Below are 21,899 nucleotides of genomic sequence, written 5' to 3'. Positions count from 1 at the left end.
TCATTTTTTTCATTCTTTTTTTGTCTCCTCTGTGTATTTTCAAATAGCCTGTCTTCAAGCTCATTAATTCTTTCTTCTGTTTGATCAATTCTGCTAACAGACTGATGCATTCTTCAGTATGTCACTAGCATTTTTCCACTCCAGAATTTCTGCTTCTTTTTAATTATTTCCCTTCCTTTCTTTCCTTTCTTTCTTTCTTCAGAGTGTTGCTCTTGTTGCCCAGGATGGAGTGCAGTGGCATGATCTTGGTTTACTGCAACCTCTGCCTCCTGGGTTCAAGCGATTCTCCTGCCTCAGCCTCCTGAGTAGCTGGGATTACAGGCACCCACCACCACACCTGGCTAATTTCCGTATTTTTAGTACAGATGGGGTTTCATCATGTTGGCCAGGCTGGTCTCGAACTTCTGACCTCAGGTGATCCACCCGCCTTGGCCTCCCAAAGTGCTGGGATTACAGGCATGAGCCGCTGCACCTGGCCAGTTATTTCAATTTCTTTGTTAAATTTATCTGATAGGATTCTGAATTCCTTCTCGGTGTTATCTTGAATTTCTTTGAGTTTCCTCAAAACAGCTATTTTGAATTCTCTGTCTAAAAGGTCACATATCTTTGTCTCTCTGGGATTGACTTCTGGTGTCTTATTTAGTTAATTTGGTGAGGTCATGTTTTCCTAGATGGTCTTGATGCTTGTGGATGTTAGTCAATGTTTGTACCCATTCTTCTTGCGAAGGCTTTCCAGATATTCAAAGGGACTTGGGTGTTAAGTAATCTAAGTTTTCGGTCACTGCAACCATATCTGCATTAGGGGGTACCCCAAGCCCAATAACACTGTAGTTCTTGCATACTTGTAGAAGTACTACCTTGGTGGTCTTGGATAAAATCCAGAAGATTTCTCTGGATTACCAGGCAGAGACTCTCCTTCCCTTCCCTTACTTTCTCCCAAACAAGCAAAGTCTTTCTTTCTTTGTGCTGAGCTACCTGGAGCTGGGAAGTGGGGCACAAGCACCTCTGTACCCACCACCATTGGGACTCTGATGGGTCTGACCTGAAGCCAGCACAGCACCGAATCTTGCTCAAGTCCTGCTGTAATCACTACATGGCTACCCGTATGTTCACTCAAGGCCCTAGGGCTCTACAATCAGCAAGTGGTGAAGCCAGCCAGGCTTGTGTCCTTCCCCTAAGGGCAATGAGTTCCCCCAGGCTCCACGCAGGTCCAGAGAGGCTGTCCAGGTGCCTGGGCCTAGAATCAGAAACCTTAGAAATCTACCTGGTACTCTATTCTACTGTGGCTGAGCTAGTGCCGAAACCACCAAAGTCCTTCCCACTCTTCCCTCCACTTTCCCCAGGGTGAGGAGTCTCCCTACGTCTACCACATGCCCAAAGGGAATAAAGCCATGCTACTGCCATTGTTCACCTAAGGCCCAAGGGCTCTTTATTCAGTTTGTGGTGAATCCTGTCAGGCCTGGGACTCACCCTTCAGAGCAGCGGGCCCGCCTTTAGCCCAGGGTACATCTAGAGATCCAAGAGTCCAAGAGCCAAGGCCTGGAGTCAGGGACCCCAAAAGACTTCTTGGTGCTCCTCTCCACTGTGGCCAAGCTGGTACCTAAGCTAAAGACAAAGTCCCCTTTACTTTTCCCTCTGCTTTTCTCAAGCAGAAGAAATCTCTCCTCACAGCCACCACGGCTGTGAAAGTGCAGAGGCACCCTTAAAGCCAGAATGTCTGAGTCTTACCCAAGGCCCATGGCACACTACTTGCTTATCACTGCTGGTTGGCTGCCCTGCATTCCAAAACAATGTCCCATAAACACTGCACTCTCCCTCCTCAAAGCACACAGATTCTCTCTCCGGGCCATGTGGTCCGCTGACAGGGAATGGTGGAGGGGTGGTGTTGGTGATTCAAGACTGTCCTTCCTACCCTCTTCAGTGCCTCTTTCAGTGATATGATGTTAAAATCAGGTACTGTGATCGCTTACCTGCTTTTTGGTTCTCATGAAGGTGCTTTATTTTGTAGACAGTTGTTAAATTTGGTGTTCATGTGGGGAGGACAATTGGTGGAGGCTTCTATTCTGCCATCTTCCTCTGCCCTCCTGTCCATCTACTGACTTTTAGAAATTTAAGTTCAAGAAGAAATTTTATGTGACACTTGGATCTCCTTAAATGTAGGAATTATTTTTTATTCAAGGCCTACCTGTTTTCTATTTCATCTGCACCTGTTTTAAGGGCAGTACTTATTCTTCCTCCTTGTGGCTGCAGGGCCCCATTAGATGCTATGTGACTTTGCTCTCTCTACTCACTGGAGTGCCTTAAGTAGGTAGTCTTGAGAGTAGTGGAAGGGGCTTGTGGACGGGTGGTGCAGCCAGTGGGAAGCACAGGGCCTGTCTCCAGGTGAGGTACCAGGAGGATGCCTCTTTACATCCTATTCCCTCAGCTCTCCCAGCTGAGAGGCAGTGGGGAACGAGCCCGCCCCTACAACCTGTCCACCCCTCCATGGGGCAGGAGACTGGCTTAGTTATAGGGTGCGAAGCAGTGAGCCTGGACCCTCCTCCTGAGACTCCTAACCATGGGATCCTGCTGGCTCCCCAGGCTTTCCTGCCTGCCTATCCCAACTGTTCAGGAAGGTAGCACCTGGATTGGGAACAGACTAGAGACAGGCACACTAAACCACCATCTTCTCTTGCCTTCTGCACCAATCCAAGGGTTTCTTGAGATTACATTCCTGGGTATCTGCTTGTTACTACTTATTTCTAGAAATTTTGATGGTTTCTGATGTACTGACAATTTGCAGGCCCATTTGGAAATGAATAGGAAAGCCCAAGTAGAGATGTAATTATGCTTACATAATTTGTTTTTGTGCTCCCTCTTCTTAACTCTATTTTCTTTTCTTTTTTGAAGTATAACATACATAAAGAAAATACTTGTGTATTTTTTTCAGGATTTTCAAACTTCTTAGTAAAAAAAAAGAAATTAGGAATGTAAATATTCTGTGTTTCCCTCAGTGGAAACCTGCTTGAGGCACTGACAGTAAAAAGGAAAATTTCACTGGGCGGCCACAGTAGCTCACACCTGTAATCCCAGCACTTTGGGAGGCCGAGGCGGGTGGATCACAAGATCAGGAGTTCGAGACCAGCCTGGCCAAAATGGTGAAACCCCCGTCTCTACTAAAAATACAAAAATTAGTCAGGCGTGATGGCACGCACCTGTAGTCCCAGCTACTCAGGAGGCTGAGGCAGAAGAATTGCTTGAACCCAGGAGGCAGAGGTTGCAGTGAACCGAGATTGTGCCACTGCACTCCAGCCTGGGCAACAGAGCAAGACTCCGTCAAAAAAAAAAAAAATTCACCAGAAAGAATTTAGAATTGCAAGACCTATCTATTATTTCTGTAGCTTCCAGCTTTTTCTCAATGAACCTGCTCTATGAAGAGGAACACAAACTAGTTACAATCACCTGTGAATGACAAAATGTGAGTCATATGAATACATTCTTGCAAGACAACTTCGCATCTGACTAATGTGGTTCTGGCACTCTCCCACTGATGAGAAGGCGCTGGCAAGCTCCGGTGCACTCTCTCTTAATAGGAAGTAACACCTATTAGTTAGAGTCAATAGAAAGTAACACTTATTCTTTTTGTATGTAGTGGTGCAAACCTTTGCCTATAGTAAGGCATAAGACCAGTGGTTCTCAAATATCTTTGGGATACATAAGTCTCACCCAGATGGCTTGTTACGCATGCAAATTCTTGGACCCCATCTCCAGAAAACCAAAGCTAGAGAACGAGCCCAGCGCCTAATACACTGTATTAGACACTATAGAGCTGGGCATGGTGGCTCACGCCCATAATCCCAGCACTTTGGGAGGTCAAGGCAGGTGGATCACCTGAGGTCAGGAGTTCAAGACCAGCCTGGCCAACATGGTGAAACCCCGTCTCTACTAAAAATACAAAAATTAGCCAGGCATGGTGGCGGGCACCTGTAATCCCAGCTACTCAGGAGGCTGAGGCAGGAGAATTGCTTGGACCCAGGTAGTGGAGATCGTAGTGAGCCAAGATCACACCATTGTCCTCCAGCCTGGATGACAAGAGCAAAACCCCATCTCAAAAAACAAAACAAAATAGACACTTCAGAAATGACAAAGGCTATAACCAATCTTATTTCATCTGAGTTGTTTTTCAATCTCTAAGCAATGAAAATGGAAAGCAATTCACAAAAAAAGGGGCTTAAAAAAACACACATTTTTTAAAAGGTTCAACCTTTCTAGTAAAGCAAAGAAATAAGAAGTACAAATCATACTATTATAGCATACCACTCTGGTGTGGGATGTTGATAGTGGGAGAGGCTGCGCATGTGTGGGAGCAGAGAGTATACTTTCTGCTCAATTTTGCTATGAACCAAAAAATGCTCTAAAAAATAAAGTCTATTTTTTAAACCTCAAAAATAGCATTTTCACTTATTAAAGAAGCAAATATTTTAAATCTATAATATTAAAAATATATCAAAAATCAAAAAGGTTTCAGCATCTTCTGCTTGCCTAAAAAATAGAAATAAAAAAGGCACAGCTGGCCCTTCCCAATACAACTTTCCTGGAGACCAATGCCAAAAAATATATATTCATAATGTTCATAACCTTTGACCCAGTAACTCTAGTTCTTGGAATTAATATTAAATGAAATAATAAGAAAAATGTATGCATAAAGATGTCTTCAGAGTGTGATACACATGTCAAGTATTTCACAAGGTACATTATTATGGAAACACTAAGATGTTCATAAAGGGTTTTTAGCAACAAGGGAAAGTGTGTACAACTTAATACTAAGCAAAAAGAAAGCATAGAAAATAAATATGGAGCATGATTCCAGCTGTGTATTAAGAGGCATATAAAATACTAGAATGTGAAAGTTTTGCTTATCTCTAGGGTGGAATTATGGTTTATTCTTTTTTTTTGTATGTCCAACAATGGACATACATTACTTTTATAGCCAGAAAAAAAAATGTGCTTTAAAAAATGCTTAGAAATTTAAAAAAGCCCATTTAACTCTCCAAATTCTTATGCAGATTAATAAGGTATTGTATTAGAACCGCTCTGGGGTCGGGTGCGATGGCTCACTCCTGTAATCCCAGCACTCTGGGAGACCGAGGCAGGAGGATTGCCTGAGCCCAGGAGTTTGAGACTAGCCTGGGCAACATGGTGAAACCCTGTCTCTACACACATTTTTTTTTTAATTAGCCAAGAGTTGTGGTGCACACCCCTGGTCCTAGCTATTCGGGAGGCTGAGGCAAGAGGATTGCTTGAACCTGGGAGGCAGAGGCTGCAGTGAGCCATGTTCCCACAACTGCACTCCAGCCTGAGCAACAGAGCAAGACCCTGTCTCAAAAAACAAATGAATAAAAATTTAAGAAAGAAGTGCTTTGAAGAATACAGGAAAGAATCCTACCTGACATTAACAAAGTATTCATGTTACTAGAAAGTAATATGAAAACAGAAGGTGTTAGACGGCTTATTACTTAAATACATTCTAGAATGAAAACTTAGAAAAGTAATTCCTTTGTAAAGTCAATAATGTTCCTGAATTTGTCATTTTGGAACAATATATCATCATGATGCATTTATTTTTAAAAAGATTATATCGTTATATATGGCATTGCTTCTCCATTATTTTCAATTCAATTCAAGAAACTTGTTTTTGCACACCTACTGTGTGCTGAGCATCAGGCATACCCTCAGGGAGCTTTCTTGCTTTTCTTGCAGCAAGAAAAACTAAAGGGTGGAAAGTGCATTGTCCAGGTGCACACAATAAACATGCTTCACACAAGCACGGAGCAGAAGCTAGCCACCTTGAAAAAGTGATGTCCCAAGTCCTCATTTATTTTTTCAAAGATACGGCCTATCTTTAAAAAACCTCCCTTCCCAAAACGGCTTGGAATAGGGACTTCTGTGGGAGCCTCAATGTGCTGTATAATGCAGTTTATGCAAAGGTGATGACAACCAATCCCCTGGGACATCTAAGCCCCCCAGACAGGCCAGCGTTGCCAGGAACCAGGAAAGAAACAGCTCTCCATGTTCCTCCTTCTCCAACTCTTCCTAGATTGGGAAGGGTTTGGAAATGAGGAAGTATAATTTCAAATCACCTAGAGAAAGGCCCAACTACAGCAGAGCAGCGAATTATAAGGTAGTATTCCCCTACAGGGCTTTTTACCACAGTTCCAGCCTCATATATCAAATTGCCTTCTTGGCATTTCCACCATTTGATAGAAGTCTCTCCCTCCAATAGGCAGGAAGTCCTGTCAGCTCTATCTCCAAAATCACTCCAGAATCCATCTTCTCCCCATCTCCACCATGCCATGCCTCTCCCTGAACCTTGAAGTAGTCCCCTAACTTGACTCCCTGCTTCAATTCTTGCTCCCCTAAAATCCTTCTCCACGAAGTAGCCAGCGTGATCTTTTTCAAACATAAATCAGTCTATATCCACAAGGACAAGGGCTTTTATCTGTGTTTTATTCACTAATGTAGCCCCAGCAACAAGAGTGTGAGTGGATTATTTAAATTCCTTGGCTGAACACTAAATAATGGCTTCCCATTTCCAGACTCCAAACTTCTTATCACAACCTTCAAGTCTCACGGGCTGCCCTTCCCCCAGCTCACAGCACTCCATCCACTGGTCCCCTTTCTGCTTCTTAAACGTGCCACGCCTCTTCCTACTTATGGCCTTGGAACTTGAACTGCCCTCGCTCTGGAGTGATCCCCCTGGGTGTCTCCTCCCTCAACACCACCACCTTGGCTTGCCTGGCCCCATATGTCATTCCATTCTCAATTCACACGTCACCTTATTCCCTTACCATCCTTTTTTTTTTTTTTTTTTTTTTTCTTATTTTTGAGACAGAGTCTCACTCTGTCACCCAGGCTGGAGTGCAATGGCACAATCTCAGCTCACTGCAACCTCCGCCTCCCGGGTTCAAGCAATTCTCCTGCCTCAGCCTCCCAAGCAGCTGGGAGTACAGGCACGTGCCACCACACCCGGCTAATTTTTGTATTTTTAGTAGAGACAGGGTATCACCATATTGGTCAGTCTGGTCTTGAACTCCTGACCTCGTGATCTGCACGCCTCGGCCTCCCAAAAGTGCTGGGATTACAGGCATGAGCCACCGCGCCCGGCCACCATCCTTTCTAAGACAGCCACACAGTCACTCTCCATCACATCCTCTCATCAGAGCACTTGACATCAGCTAACATCACCTTGGTTACTTAGCATTGACTGCCTGTACACCCCACTAAAGTGTGCAGCAGGGCGAAGATCAGAGGCCTGTGTGCTTGGGCCATTACTGCAGCTCCAGTGCCTCTAACAATGCCTGGCTGTTAGTGGGTTAGTGGATTAGTGAGTGATTTATCAATTAATTTAGCTCCATGTTCTAGGATCTGGTCTTCTGAGTTGAAGGCTTAGAGACTATCTCTAGCTGTCCATCCTGTCTTTGGTTTAAGCTGTTATCAATCCCTTTGATTTGAGCTGTTATCAATCTCTGGTTCCCAGACATGATCAGGTCCTCAAAGAGGACTCAGACAAGCTAAAATGTACTGGAGACAGAGCAGACACCAGAACACTAATTTATTCATTTACATTGAAAAACCTCTGTCAACAGAACTGAATAAATATTCGAATTCCATTCAATTTACTGTCTTCTCCCCCGAAGTCAAGGCATACAACACGCCACATCTAGTGGGTAGAATGAAAACAAAATGAATTTGGATGATAATCACCAAAACCCCTCCGCTGATATACCTGTTTCAATAGAACCAGATCACAGAGCTGCAGGCTGAAATTCCCTTTTTCAGTAAAATGCATGAAGTCCAGTAGCCAAAACTCTTTCCTCATTGGCAGTACTGGAAGCACACTGAACCAAGGTCCTGTATGTTAGTCCGACTACATGTTAACATCACTGTCTACGCCCCTGCTTTCCCATGTTAGTAAAGCCCAATGCTGCACTCATCGCTCAAGTTCAAAAACTCCAGTAGTCCTTTTGCAAATTATTAAACTAGCAAACTACGTATGATATATTCAATTAGATGAGGGCTTGATACAGTTTCCCATAACCCAACTAGGTTAAAGCCAACATTCCAAGCCAGAAGGACATCATGAAGTTGAGCACATGGGAACTAAAGTAGGTCCGCAGATTCTAACCAGCCAGGTGGCAGACCCCACTGCATGGTTCCCAAAGGCCAGAGACACAGCTAAAGCCATAAAAAGACATGGGGGTCCAAACTACTACCCCCAGCCATCAAACTGGCATGGAAAGGAAAGCTTACCACCAATAAAAGGACCACGGACTGCTCACCAGGGCTCGGCTTCCAGGGACCGATAACGGCTTAAACCAAAGACAGTATGGATAACCCAGACATGTATAATTCATAGTTGACTATATTACTTCCTCTAAATTTATAATGATGATGATCATTGGTGGAAAGTTTCTGAGGAATAAATAATTGATAAGCTTCTCCATATCACAAGGCAAACCGCTAACAGACACTGTGGATGGAGATGTATTAAAACAATAAATTCTTCCATTCAACATTTATCAAGCACTTACTGTGTATTAGTATACAAGAGTCATCTGTTTTGACACTGGTATCTGCTGAAAGAATATAAGCAATAATTATAGGGTTCTGGAAGGGGCAAGGAGACCCAGAGCTCTTGATTATGAAACATTTATTGAGCTCCTACTATGTCTTAGACATTGGTAGGTGTTGAAAATAGAAATATTAAGACTCTGTTCTAGCTCTTGAGGATCACATAGGGTAATGGTTTGAAAACATATTTTACTTTTTTTCCAGTGTATAACTGTTCAGAGTCACATGACAGAAAATCATAAAGACTTATCTAGGCAAATTTGCCAAGATACAGTGTTAATATATCTCGATTTGACTAGTTCTATCAGGGTCTAGCAGTAAGTTTCACATCTTAAGAATGGCTTCAGCTTTACTTTTGTAATATAAAATCACCTGCAGGGATGATTCTCAAAAATCAAATAACCCAGTAAAATTTTACTGCGTGAACTGAAAAACAGCTATAAACCAGCAATAATAATAATAATAAAAACTCAGGCAATTTACAGAAGATATTCTTCAAGAATCTATAAATAAAAAATACACCTTTTACATCATTGAAATACAATTTAAATATCTTCACACCTCTGTTTTAAAACTGATACTACAAGTATGAGGTTATTTTGTTCTTTGTTTTGTTTTCTGTTTGTTTTTGCTTTTTTTTTTTTTGAGTCAGAGTCTCACTCTGTTGCCCAGGCTGGAGGGCAGTGGCACGATCTCGGCTGACTGTAACCTCCGCCTCCTGGGTTCAAGTGATTCTCCTGCCTCAGCCTCCCAAGTAGCTGGGGTTACAGGCACCTGCCACCACACCCAGCTAATTTTTGTATTTTTAGTAGAGATGGGGTTTCACCATGTTGGCCAGGCTGGTCTTGAACTCCTGATCTCATGATCTGCCCACCTTGGTCTCCCAAAGTGCTGGGATTACAGGTGTGAGCCACCACGCCCGGCCAAGTATCAGTTTTATATTATGCCCACTCTCCCAATTTATTTATTTATTTAGAGATGGAGTCTTGCTCTGTCAGCCAGGCTGGAGTGCAGTGGCATGATCCTGGCTCACTGCAACCTCCACCTCCCAGGTTCAAACAATTCTCCTTCCTCAGCCTCCCAAGTAGCTGGGATTACAGGCACATGCCATCAGGCCCAGCTAATTTTTATATATATTTTTAGGAGAGATGGGGTTTCATCATGTTGGCCAGGCTGGTCTCGAACTCCTGACCTCAAGTGATCCACCCACCTTGTGGATCCCACACCCAAAGTGATGGGATTACAGGCGTGAGCCACCGTGCCTGGTGCCAATTTTTATATTACTTATAAATGAAGACTTCCTTTTAGTACTTTTTAAATTTACTCTACATCATTGTTACGGACTGAATGTTTGTGTCCTCCAAAAATTCATATGTTCACCAAGCGTGGTGGCTCATGCCTGTAATCCCAGCACTTCGGAAGACCAAGGCAGGAGGATTACTTGAGCCCAGGAGGTTGAGGCTGCAGTGAGCCATGATCATACCACTGCATTCCAGCCTGAATGACAGAGCAAGACCCAGTCTAAAAAAAAAAAAAAAATTGTAGGTTAAACTCCTAACCCTTGATGTGATGGTATTAGGAGGTGGGGCCTATAAGAGGTGATTAGGTCATGAGGGTAGAATCTTCACGAATGGGATTAGTACCTTAAAAGAAGGTCTTGCTTCTGCTCTCTACTTTCTGCCATGCAAGGATACGAAAAGACGACCATCTACAATTCAGGCAGCAGGGTCTCACCAGACACTGGATCTACCAGCATTTTGATCTTGGACTTCCCAGTCTCCAGAATCATGAAAAAGAAATTTCTGTTGTTTAAGCTACCCAGTCTATGGTAATTTGTCATAGCAGCCTAAACTAAGACAATCATGATTTCATTTTAATGAAGTTTGGCTATAAGACAGCAATTCTGATCTGTCATCAAGCATCCTAACATGTTTAGGTAGACATGCTTAAGTTCATAATACATATAAATCAATATAATTAGTGTTTCACATTGGAGTCTTAAATTTTTAAACTTCCTTGTTGTTACTTTGTCATTATATATAGTTACTACCAGTTACAAAAAAAGTAAACACTCAAATACAAACTAAATTTTTTGCCAAATTTAGATTTTACTCAGTTTTCCCTGTCTATCACGGAAATCATCACTTGCAAAATTGCACACTCCAAAAATACATGTAAATATAAAAGAGTGCTGTCTGGTTAAGGCAAGAATAACCATTACATAAAATGTGTTTCGGACGTTGGGAAAACAGCAAAATTGAAATTACTTTCTCACTGCATTGTAAATTTTTCAAAAATCATCTTAAAGAAACATGTTTAGGCCAGGCATGGTGGCTCATGCCTATAATTCCAGCACTTTGGGAGGCCATACATAACTGGTTGGTCACTTGAGGACAGGAGCTCAAGACCAGCCTGGCCAACATGGTGAAACCCTGTCTCTACAAAAATACAAAAATCAGCCGGGTGTGGTGGTGTGCCTGAAATTCCAGCTACTTGGGAGGCTGAGGCATGAGAATCACTTGAACCTGGGAGGCGGAGGTTGCAGTGAGCTGAGATCACACGACTGCACTCCAGCCTGGGTGAGGGAGTGAGACCTTGTCTCAAAAAAAAAAAAGGTTTTGGAAAAAATAATTATCAAAAGCCTAAACAATTGATGACTTCAGATTCCTTAGGCAGATTTTTTGATACAGCTGATTATTGAAGCAATTCAAGTGATCTCTCATCAAAGCAAGGATGGGTCAGGGGAGAACTCAGTGAGAACTAAAGCTAGAATTATCTAGTTTCATAAACAAGTTCTTCCTGAAACTCAGAAAGCAAAGAATGGCTGAATAGCACAGCCTGTCACATTTGAGAGTCGATTATAGAAGATCAGGTTCTAGAAGAGCTTCTAAGAGGTAAAGTAGAAAAGAGAAAAGAGCATATTTTTGGAGTTTTGCCACATGGGTTTATTCTCAGCACTGCCACTAACTGGCCTTGATACCTCAGGCCACTTCACTCAGCCTATCTGAAAAGGATGTTCTTTGCATTGATAACCTCATAGTCTCTTCTAGTCCTTTTTGCTACCAGCATATCTACAACTGGCTTCACTCTGTATTGGGCATTTATTCACTTAATAAGTATTTGCTGAGGTTTGAATGATGGCACCCCCTCCAAAAATTATGTTGAACTTAATCCCCATTGTGGTGGTATTAAGAGGCGTGGTATTTCAGGAGGTGATTAAGTCATGAGGGCTCCACCCTGAATGGACTGGGGCCCTTATAAAAAGGGTTTATGGGAGGAGGTCCACTCTGTTCAATCCTTTTGCAATGTGAGGACACAGGATTCATCATTCTTGCCCTTCCACCTTCTGCCATGTAAGCATGCAGCAAGAAGACCCTCACCAGATGCCAAATGCCAGTGCCTTGGGCTTGGACTTCCCAGCCTCCAGAACTGTGAGAAATAAATTTCTGTTCTTTATAAATTACCCAATCTCAGGTATTTTGTTATAGCAACACAAATATACTATGACAGCATTCACCGCATTTTGCTCCAAATATTGTACTAGACAATGCAAAGATGAGGAAGACAAGGTTCCTCTCTTTTTGAGAGGCTTGTAAAGTAACAATGTTAGTCCTATTCAATAAATGCTATAGTAAGAGTGGCACGAGTTCAGTGTCCAGGATACACTGAGGGAAAGGAAACTGGGGGCATGAGAGGAACTGGCAAGGAGGGCTTCCTAAAATGAAGGAACTGTTAAATAGCATCAGTGGCCCAGCTGAAGTTGGAAATTATGTATTTAAAATGGTTCTGGCTGGGCACTGTAGCTTATGCCTGTAATCCCAACACTTTGGGAGGCCAAGGTGAGAGGACTGCTTGGGCCCAGGAGTTCAAGACCAGCCTGGGCAACATAGCAAGACCTTGTCTCTAAAAAAATAAAATAAAATAAAGTGGTTCTGGCCACTGGAGTAGTACGTGGCAGCTACCAAATAGGAAATTATTCCCTGGATCCGACAGTTGCAGCTAAAACACTATCACCTCTTACGTTGACAGAAAAAATTAAGACCAGGATTTCTTAAGGGTAGAGTTATACTGTGCTTTTACCTGGAGGGGACGGTAATGTCAGAATAGACTGACTCCCATCTCTAGTCTTCCCCCACCCCCGTAAGCAAAGGGAACAGAGCTGAGTTCCCACAGGAAAGTGCTGGGTATTCTAAGAATGGGGAAGTAACAGTATTTTCTAATGTGAAACATGGGAAAAGTTTGTATTTTTTGTAACATACCCTGGCACCCTCTTATCTGCAGGGGACACGTTCCAAGACTTCCTGTGGATGCCTGACACTGCAGATAGTACCAAACCCTACATATACTATGTTTTTTTGATCTGATAATCAAGACATCTACTAAGTGACTAACGGGCAGGTAGCATATACAGTGTGGACAAAGTAGTGATTCACGTCCCACCCAGGCCGGGTGGTGAAAGATTTCATCATGCTACTCAGAATGGCACACAATTTAAAACTTATCAATTGCTTATTTATGGATTTTTCCATTTAATATTTCCAGATCATGGTTGGCCACAGATAACTGAAATTGCGGAGAGTGAAGCCACAGATAAAGGGGCCTACTGTACTTCTTTGCCAGTGGTTGAGGGGATGGGAACCTGAGAATTCTTATTGATCCCCATCACTTGGATTTTACCTGTCGTTAGATTTAGGTGCAGCAGAGCTATCAGTCTCTTGATAAATCTGAAATCCCTTTCAAAATTGAAATGTTCGAGTTGGGGTTCTTCAATTTTGTACAGTTGTCAACTTAGGGTTGCTTAGTTTTTAGCGTCTGGGATAAAACTGACTCAGCACCCAAAAATAAAACTGAAAAGATCATTCTTAATATAGATACCAGCATCCAAAGACAAGTATATTATTTACAGCAATTTTGTAAACTTTCTACGTTCCTCTGAGGTCATTGCACTTCTTTAGTTGCAGGTAATTGGACCTGACTAACTTAAGGGGGTTAATGGAAATGATTGGACAACATACCAAGACTCCCGTCTCTACAAAAAATAAAATAATTAGCTGGGCATGGTGGCCTGTGCCTGTAGTCTCAGCTCCTCAGGAGGCTGAGGTGGGAGGATCACCTGAACCCAGGAGTTAGAGGCTACAGTGAGCTATGATCATACCACTGCACAGCCAGACCCCGTCTCCAGAAAACATTTAAAAAAAAAAAAAAGGAATGGGGAAAGGAACACATAATCAACAGGGAAGCTGGGTTATGCAGGTTGAGAAGAAGACACAAAGAGTATTTCCTGAGGTCCAAGCAGCAGGAACTACTAGCCAGTATCCCGCAGGCAAAGTGGCTGCAAGGAAGGTACTATGGCCATTTCCAGTCTTTGAATTAGCCTGCTCAGGTTTTCGTTATGTTTTGGTTTGGTTTGGTTTGGTTTTAGTTTTGAATGTAGCATCTCCCTCTGTTACCCATGCTGGAGTACCCCGGCATGACTACGGCTCACTGCAGCAACCTCCGAGGTTCAACGATTCCTCCCACCTCGGCCTCCCAAAGCACTGGGATTACAGGTATGAGCCACCGCGCCCAGCCCAGCCTGCTCAGGTTTTAAATTCCAGAAAGGGAGGGTCTCAGTGCTCTAGCCTGAGTTATGGGCCCCAACCCCCTTTAGCTAAAAAGGGGATAAGGCAACCTGATTATTAGCCATCCCAGTTTGTATTCAATGAAAGAAAGGTAAATCCAAAAAGAAATCAAATTGCTGTGACCAAAAGAAATCTGGAATGGATACCATAAGGCACCAAAGCAACACAGACCCATTGCACTGTCTTACTAACAAATACACAGTCATTTTCTTTAACCATCATAAGAAGTATCCACTAGAACTCTTAGAACCCTGAAGACAAATGCACTTCAATTAGGATATAATTCTGAGTGAATCCTTGTCCTTAGTAAACATGTGAGAATCTCAAAGAACAGTGAAATTTGATAACTATGTATGTAGGCCAGAGCCAAGAGGCACAAGCTTGGTGAGAATTATCAAAAAAAGGAGACCAGGTACAGTGGCTCATACCTATAATCCCAGCACTTTGGGAGGCAGAGGCAGAGGCTGGGCAACAAAGCAAGACCTCATCTCTACAAAAAAAAAAAATAAGAAAAATTAGCAGGGCATGGTAGCATGTGTCTGTAGTCCCAGCTACTTAGAGGCTGAAGTGGGAGGATCACTTGAGCCCAGGAGTTTGACGCTGCAGTGAGTTATGATTGCACCACTGCACTCCAGCCTGGGTAACAGAGGTTTTGTCTCTCCAGAAAAAAAAGAACATGAATTATGCAAACAGTAGTCACAAAGGAGATGGAATACCTGTACTGATACCAGACAAAACAGACTTTAAGAGAAGAAACATTACAAGAGACACAGAGAGACTTTCTATGGCAAAAGGGTCAATGCATCAGGTAGATATATGCAATTATAAATGTATATGAGCCTAACAACAGTGCCCAAATACAGGAAGCAAAAACTGACAAAACTGGAAGAAGAAACAGACAATTCAGCAATAAGAGTTGGATATTTCAATAACTAATAGAACAAGAAAGAAAATCAGTAAGAATACAGAAGGCCACCAAACAAGTCTCAAAAAATGTAAAGAGGTTAAAAATATACAAAGTATGTTCTCAGCCAAGTGTGGTGACTCATGTCTGTAATCCTACCACTTTGAGAAGCTGAGGCAGGAGGATCACTTGAGCCCAGAAGTTCAAGACCAACCTGGGCAACATGGCAAAACCTTGTCTCTACAAAAAATTAGCTGGATGTGGTGGCATGCACCTGTAGTTCCAGCTACTCAGGAGGCTGAGATGGAAGAATCACCTGAGCCCAGGAGGTTGAGGCTGCAGTGAGCTGTAATAGAGCCACTGCACTATACCAGCCTAGGTGACAGACAGACCCTGTCTCAAAAAAAGAAAAAAAAGGAGGGTGTTCCAATATGGCCAAATAGGAACAGCTCTGGTCTGCAGCTCCCAGCATGATCAATGCAGAAGACGGGTGATTTCAACAAAGCTGGATGGAGAATGACCTTGATGAGTTGACAGAAGTAGGCTTCAGAAGGTCAGTAATAACAAAGTTCTCTGAGCTAAAGGAGCATGTTCTAACCCATTGCAAGGAAGCTAAAAATCTTGAAAAAAGATTAGATGAATGGCTAACTGGAATAAACAGTGTAGAGAAGACCTTAAATGACCTGATGGAGCTGAAAACCATGGCACGAGAACTTCGTGATGCATGCACAAGCTTCAATAGCCGATTCAATCAAGTGGAAGAAAGGGTATCAGTGATTGAAGACAAAATTAATGAAATAAAGGAAGAAGACAAGGTTAGAGAAAAAAGAGTAAAAAGAAATTAGTAAAGCCTCCAAGAAATATGGGACTATGTGAAAAGACCAAATCTACATTGGATTGTTGTACCTGAAAGTGATGGGGAGAATGGAACCAAGTTGGAAAACACTCTTCAGGATATCATCCAGGAGAATTTCCCCAACCTAGCCAGGCCAACATTCAAATTCAGGAAATACAGAGAACACCACAAAGATACTCCTAGAGAAGAGCAACCCCAAGACACATAATTGTCAGATTCACAAGGTTGAAATGAAGGAAAAAGTGTTAACGGCAGCCAGACAGAAAGGTCGAGTTACCCATAAAGGTAAGTCCATCAGACTAACAGCAGATCTCTCGGCAGAAACCCTATAAGCCAGAAGAGAGTGGGGGCCAATAATCAACATTCTTAAAGAAAAGAATTTTTTCCACCCAGAATTTCATATCCAGCTTCATAAGGGAAGGAGAAATAAAATCCTTTACAGACAAGCAAATGCTGAGAGATTTTGTCACCACCAGGTCTGCCTTACAAGAGCTCCTGAAGGAAGCACTAAACATGGAAAGGAACAACCGGTACCAGCCACTGCAAAAACATGCCAAATTGTAAAGACCATTGATGCTGTGAAGAAACTGCATCAACTAACGGGCAAAATAACCAGTGAACATCATAGTGACAGGATCAAATTCACACATAATAATCTTAACCTTAAATGTAAGTGGGCTAAATGCCCCAATTAAAAGACACAGACTGGCAAATTGGATAAAGAGTCAAGACCCATCAGTGTGCTGTATTCAGGAGACCCATCTCATGTGCAAAGACACACACAGGCTCAAAATAAAGGGATGGAGGAAGATCTACCAAGCAAATGGAAAGCAAAAAAAAAAAAAGCAGGGGTTGCATTCCTAGTCTCTGATAAAACAGACTTTAAACCAACAAAGATCAAAAGAGACAAAGAAGGCCATTATATAATGGTAAAGAGATCAATTCAACAAGAAGAGCTAACTATGCTAAATATATATGCACCCAATACAGGAGCACCCAGATTCATAAAGCAAGTCCTTAGAGACCTACAAAGAGACTTAGACTCCCATACAATAATAATGGGAGACTTTAACACCCCACTGTCAATATTAGACAGATCAGTGAGACACAAGGTTAACAAGGATATCCAGGACCTGAACTCAGCTCTGCAACAGGCAGACCTAATAGACATCTACAGAACTCTCCACCCCAAATCAACAGAATATACATTCTTCTCAGCACCACATCACACTTATTCTAAAATTGACCACATAATTGGAAGTAAAGCACTCCTCAGAAAATGTAAAAGAACAGAAATCACAACAAACTGTCTCTCAGACCACAGTGCAATCAAATCAGAACTCAGGATTAAGATACTCATTCAAAACTGCACAACTACATGTAAACTGAACAACTTGCTCCTGAATGACTACTGGGTACATAACAAAATGAAGGCAGAAATAAAGATGTTGAAACCAATGAGAACAAAGACACAACGTACCAGAATCTCTGGGACACATTTAAAGCATTGTGTAGACAGAAATTTATAGCACTAAATGCCCACAAGAGAAAGCAGGAAAGATCTAAATTTGACACCCTAACAACACAATTAAAAGAACTAGAGAAGCAAGAGCAAACACATTCAAAAGCTAGCATAAGGCAAGAAATAACTAAGCTCAAAGCAGAACTGAAAGAGACAGAGAAACAAAAAACCCTTCAAAAAAATCAATGAATCCAGGAGCTGGGTTTTTTTTTTTAAACATCAACAAAATTGATAGACTGCTAGCAAGACTAATAAAGAAGAAAAGAGAGAAGAATCAAATAGATGCAATAAAAAATGGTAAAGGGGATATCACCACTGATCGCACAGAAATACAAACTACTATCAGAGAATACTATAAACACCTCTACACAAATAAACTAGAAAATCTAGAAGAAATGGATAAATTCCTGGACACACACACCCTCCCAAGACTAAACCAGGAAGAAGTTGAATCTCTGAATAGACCAGTAACAGGCTCTAAAATTGAGGCAATAATAAATAGGCCACCAGTCAAAAAAAGTCCAGGACCAGACGGATTCACAGCCGAATTCTACCAGAGGTACAAAGAGGAGCTGGTACCATTCCTTCTGAAACTATTCCAATCAGTAGAAAAAGAGGGAATCCTCCCTAACTCACTTTATGAGGCCAGCATCTTCCTGATACCAAAGCCTGGCAGAGACACAACAAAAAAAGAGACTTTTAGGCCAATATCCCTGATGAACTCAATGTGAAAATCCTCAATAAAATACTGGCAAACCGAATCCAGCAGCACATCAAAAAGCTTATCCACCAAGATCAAGTTGGCTTCATCCCTGGGATGCAAGGTTGGTTCAACATATGCAAATCAATAATCATAATCCATCACACAAACAGAACCAATGACAAAACCCACATGATTATCTCAATAGATGCAGAAAAGGCCTTTGACAAAATTCAACAGCCCGTCGTGCTAAAAACTCTCATTTGACTAGGTATTGATGGAACGTATCTCAAAATAATAAGAGCTATTTTATGACAAACCCACAGCCAATATCATACTGAATGGGCAAAACTGGAAGGATTTCCTTTGAAAACCGGCACAAAACAAGGATGCTCTCTCTCACCATTCCTGTTCAACATGGTGTTGGAAGTTCTGGCCAGGGCAATCAGGCAAAAGAAATAAATAAAGGGTGTTCAATTAGAAAATGAGGAAGTCAAATTGTCCCTGTTTGCAGATGACATGATTGTATATTTAGAAAACCCCATCATCTCAGCCCAAAATCTTCTTAAGCTGATAAGCAACTTCAGGAAAGTCTCAGGATACAAAATCAATGTGCAAAAATCACAAGCATTCCTATACACCATTAACAGACAAACAGAGAGCCAAATCATGAGTGAACTCCCATTCACAATTGCTACAAAGAGAATAAAATACCTAGGAATCCAACTTACAAGGGATGTGAAGGACCTCTTCAAGGAAGAACTACAAACCACTGCTCAACAAAATGAAAGAGGACACAAACAAATGGAAGAATATTCCATGCTCATGGATAGGAAGAATCAATATCGTGAAAATGGCCATACTGCTCAAAGTAATTTATAGATTCAATGCCATCCCCATCAAGCTACCAATGACTTTCTTCACAGAATTGAAAAAAACTGCTTTAAAGTTCATATGGAACCAAAAAAGAGCCTGAATTGCCAAGACAATCCTAAGCAAAAAGAACAAAGCTGGAAGCATCATGCTACCTGACTTCAAACTATCCTACAAGGCTACAGTAACCAAAACGGCATGGTACTGGTACTAAAACAGACATATAGACCAATGGAACAGAACAGAGGCCTCAGAAATAATACCACACATCTACAACCATCTGATCTTTGACAAACCTGACAAAAACAAGAAATGGGGAAAGGACGCCCTATTTAATAAATGGTGCTGGGAAAACTGGCTAGCCATATGCAGAAAGCTGAAACTGGATCCCTTCCTTACACCTTATACAAAAACTAATTCAAGATGGATTAAAGACTTAAATGTTAGACCTAAAAACCCTAAAAACCCTAGAAGAAACCTAGGCAGTACCATTCAGGACATAGGCATGGGCAAGGACTTCATGCCTAAAACACCAAAAGCAATGGCAATAAAAGCCAAAATAGACAAATGGGATCTAATTAAACTAAAGAGCTTCTGCACAGCAAAAGAAACTACCATCAGAGTGAACAGGCAACCTACAGAATGGGAGAAAATTTTTGCAATCTACCCATCTGACAAAGGGCTAACATCCAGAATCTACAAAGAACTCAAACAAATTTACAAGAAAAAAACAAACAACCCCATCAAAAAGTGGGCAAAGGAAATGAACAGACACATCTCAAAAGAAGACGTCTATGCAGCCAACAGACACATGAAAAAATGCTCATCATCACTGGTCATCACAGAAGTGCAAATCAAAACCGCAAAGAGATACCATCTCACGCCAGTTAGAATGGCAATCATTAAAAAGTCAGGAAACAACAGATGCTAGCAAGGATGTGGAGAAATAGGAACGCTTTTACACTGTTGGTGGGAGTGTAAATTAGTTTAACCATTGTGGAAGACAGTGTGGCGATTCCTCAGGGATCTAGAACTAGAATTACCATTTGACCCAGCAATCCCATTACTGGGTATATACCCAAAGGATTGCAAATCATACTACTATAAATCATGCACATGTATGTTTATTGCAGCACTATTCAGAATAGCAAAGACTTGGAACCAACCCAAATGTCCATCAGTGATAGACTGGATTAAGAAAATGTGGCACATATACACCATGAAATACTATGCAGCTATAAAAAAGGATGAGTTCATGTCCTTTGCAGGGACACGGATCAGGCTGGAAACCATCATTCTCAGCAAACTTTCTCAGCAAACTATCACAAGGACAGAAAACCAAACACCGCATGTTCTCATTCACAGGTGGGAACTGAACAATGAGATCACTTGGACACATGGCAGGGAACATCACACACCGGGGTCTGTCAGCGGACGGGGGGCTGGGGGCGGGATAGCATTAGGAGAAATATCTAATGTAAATGATGAGTTGATGGGTGCAGCAAACCAACATGGCACATGTATAACTATGTATCAAACCTGCACGTTGTGCGCATGTACCCTAAAACTTACAGTATAATTTAAAAAGAAAAAAGAAAAGAAAAGGAAAGAAAACAAAAAGGATGTTCTCTGCACTCAACCAAAAACCCTAAAATTTGTATGGAACCACAAAAGACCGCGAATAGACAAAGCAACCCTGGGCAAGAACAAAACTAGGGCCAGGCGCAATGGCTCATGCCCGTAATCCCAGCACTTTGGGAGGCCGAGATGGGCGGATCACCTGAGGTCAGGAGTTGGAGACCAGCCTAGCCAACATGGTGAAACCCTGTCTCTACTAAAAATACAAAAATTAGCCTGGCATGATGACATGTGCCTGTAATCTCAGCTACTCAGGAGGCTGAGGCAGGAGAAACACTTGAACCTGGGAGGCTGAGGTTGCCGTGAGCCAATATCACGCCACTGCACTCTAGCCTGGGCAAAAGAGTGAGACTGTATCTCAATAAATAAGTAAATAAATAAATAAGAACAAAGCCAGAGGCATCACACTACCAGACCTCAAAATATACTACATAGCTGTAGTAACCAAAACAGCATGGTACTGGCATAAAAATAGACACATAGAACAATGGAACAGAAAAGAGAACCTAGAAATTAATCCACGTATCTACAGCCATCTGATTTTGGACAAAGGTGCCAAGAATACTCATTGAGGGAAAGACAAATCTTCAATAAATGGTGCTGGGAAAGCTGGACATCCATATGCAAAAGAATTAAACTAGGCCCCCACCTCTCACCCAATACAAAAATAAACTCCAAATGGACAAAAGACCTAAATGTAAGGCCCAACATGATAAAACTACTAGAAGAAAACATAGGGGAAACACTTCAGGACACTGGTCTAGGAGAAGATTTTATTAATAAGACCTCAAAAGCACAGACAACAAAAGCAAAAATAAACAAATGGATTATATCAAACAAAAACGCTTCTGCACAATAAAGGAAGCAATCCACAAAGTGAAAAGACAATCTACAGGATGGGAGAAAAATACCTGCAAACTACTCATCCAATAGGGGATTAATATCCAGAATACAGAAGGAACTCAAACAACTCAATAGCAAAAAATATCCAATTTTTTAAATGGGTAAATGATTTGAACAAATATTTCTCAAAAGCAGACATACAAATGGCAAACAAATGTATGAAAAAAGGCCCAATATCACTAATTATCAGGGAAATGCAAATCAAAATCACAATGAGGTATCATCTCACTCCAGTTATAACTGCTATTACCAAAACACAAAAAGTAACTCAT

The 21,899-nt window shown here is 41.8% G+C and overlaps 1 protein-coding gene across 14 annotated transcripts in view, besides 2 other annotated features; it reads right to left on the bottom strand.

Annotated features, from left to right (window-relative positions):
• FAM81A (family with sequence similarity 81 member A) overlaps positions 1 to 21,899 on the bottom strand; it is a 125,575-nt gene that overhangs the window by 37,181 nt on the left and 66,495 nt on the right. The gene's annotated exons all lie outside the window — the stretch shown is intronic.
• Positions 3,319 to 3,368: an enhancer, noted in NCBI's record as "active region_9495". NCBI's record gives its function as "activates an Ori minimal core promoter by ATAC-STARR-seq in GM12878 lymphoblastoid cells {active_cell/tissue: GM12878}" and the evidence as "EXISTENCE:reporter gene assay evidence [ECO:0000049][PMID:35858748]".
• Positions 3,429 to 3,478: an enhancer, noted in NCBI's record as "active region_9494". NCBI's record gives its function as "activates an Ori minimal core promoter by ATAC-STARR-seq in GM12878 lymphoblastoid cells {active_cell/tissue: GM12878}" and the evidence as "EXISTENCE:reporter gene assay evidence [ECO:0000049][PMID:35858748]".

The sequence above is a fragment of the Homo sapiens genome, chromosome 15 (genome assembly GCF_000001405.40).
Source record: "Homo sapiens chromosome 15, GRCh38.p14 Primary Assembly".
NCBI classification, from domain to species: domain Eukaryota; kingdom Metazoa; phylum Chordata; class Mammalia; order Primates; family Hominidae; genus Homo; species Homo sapiens.
The sequence above is the reverse complement of the archived record's forward strand: the minus strand, read 5'-3'. Positions and strand labels throughout refer to the sequence as shown.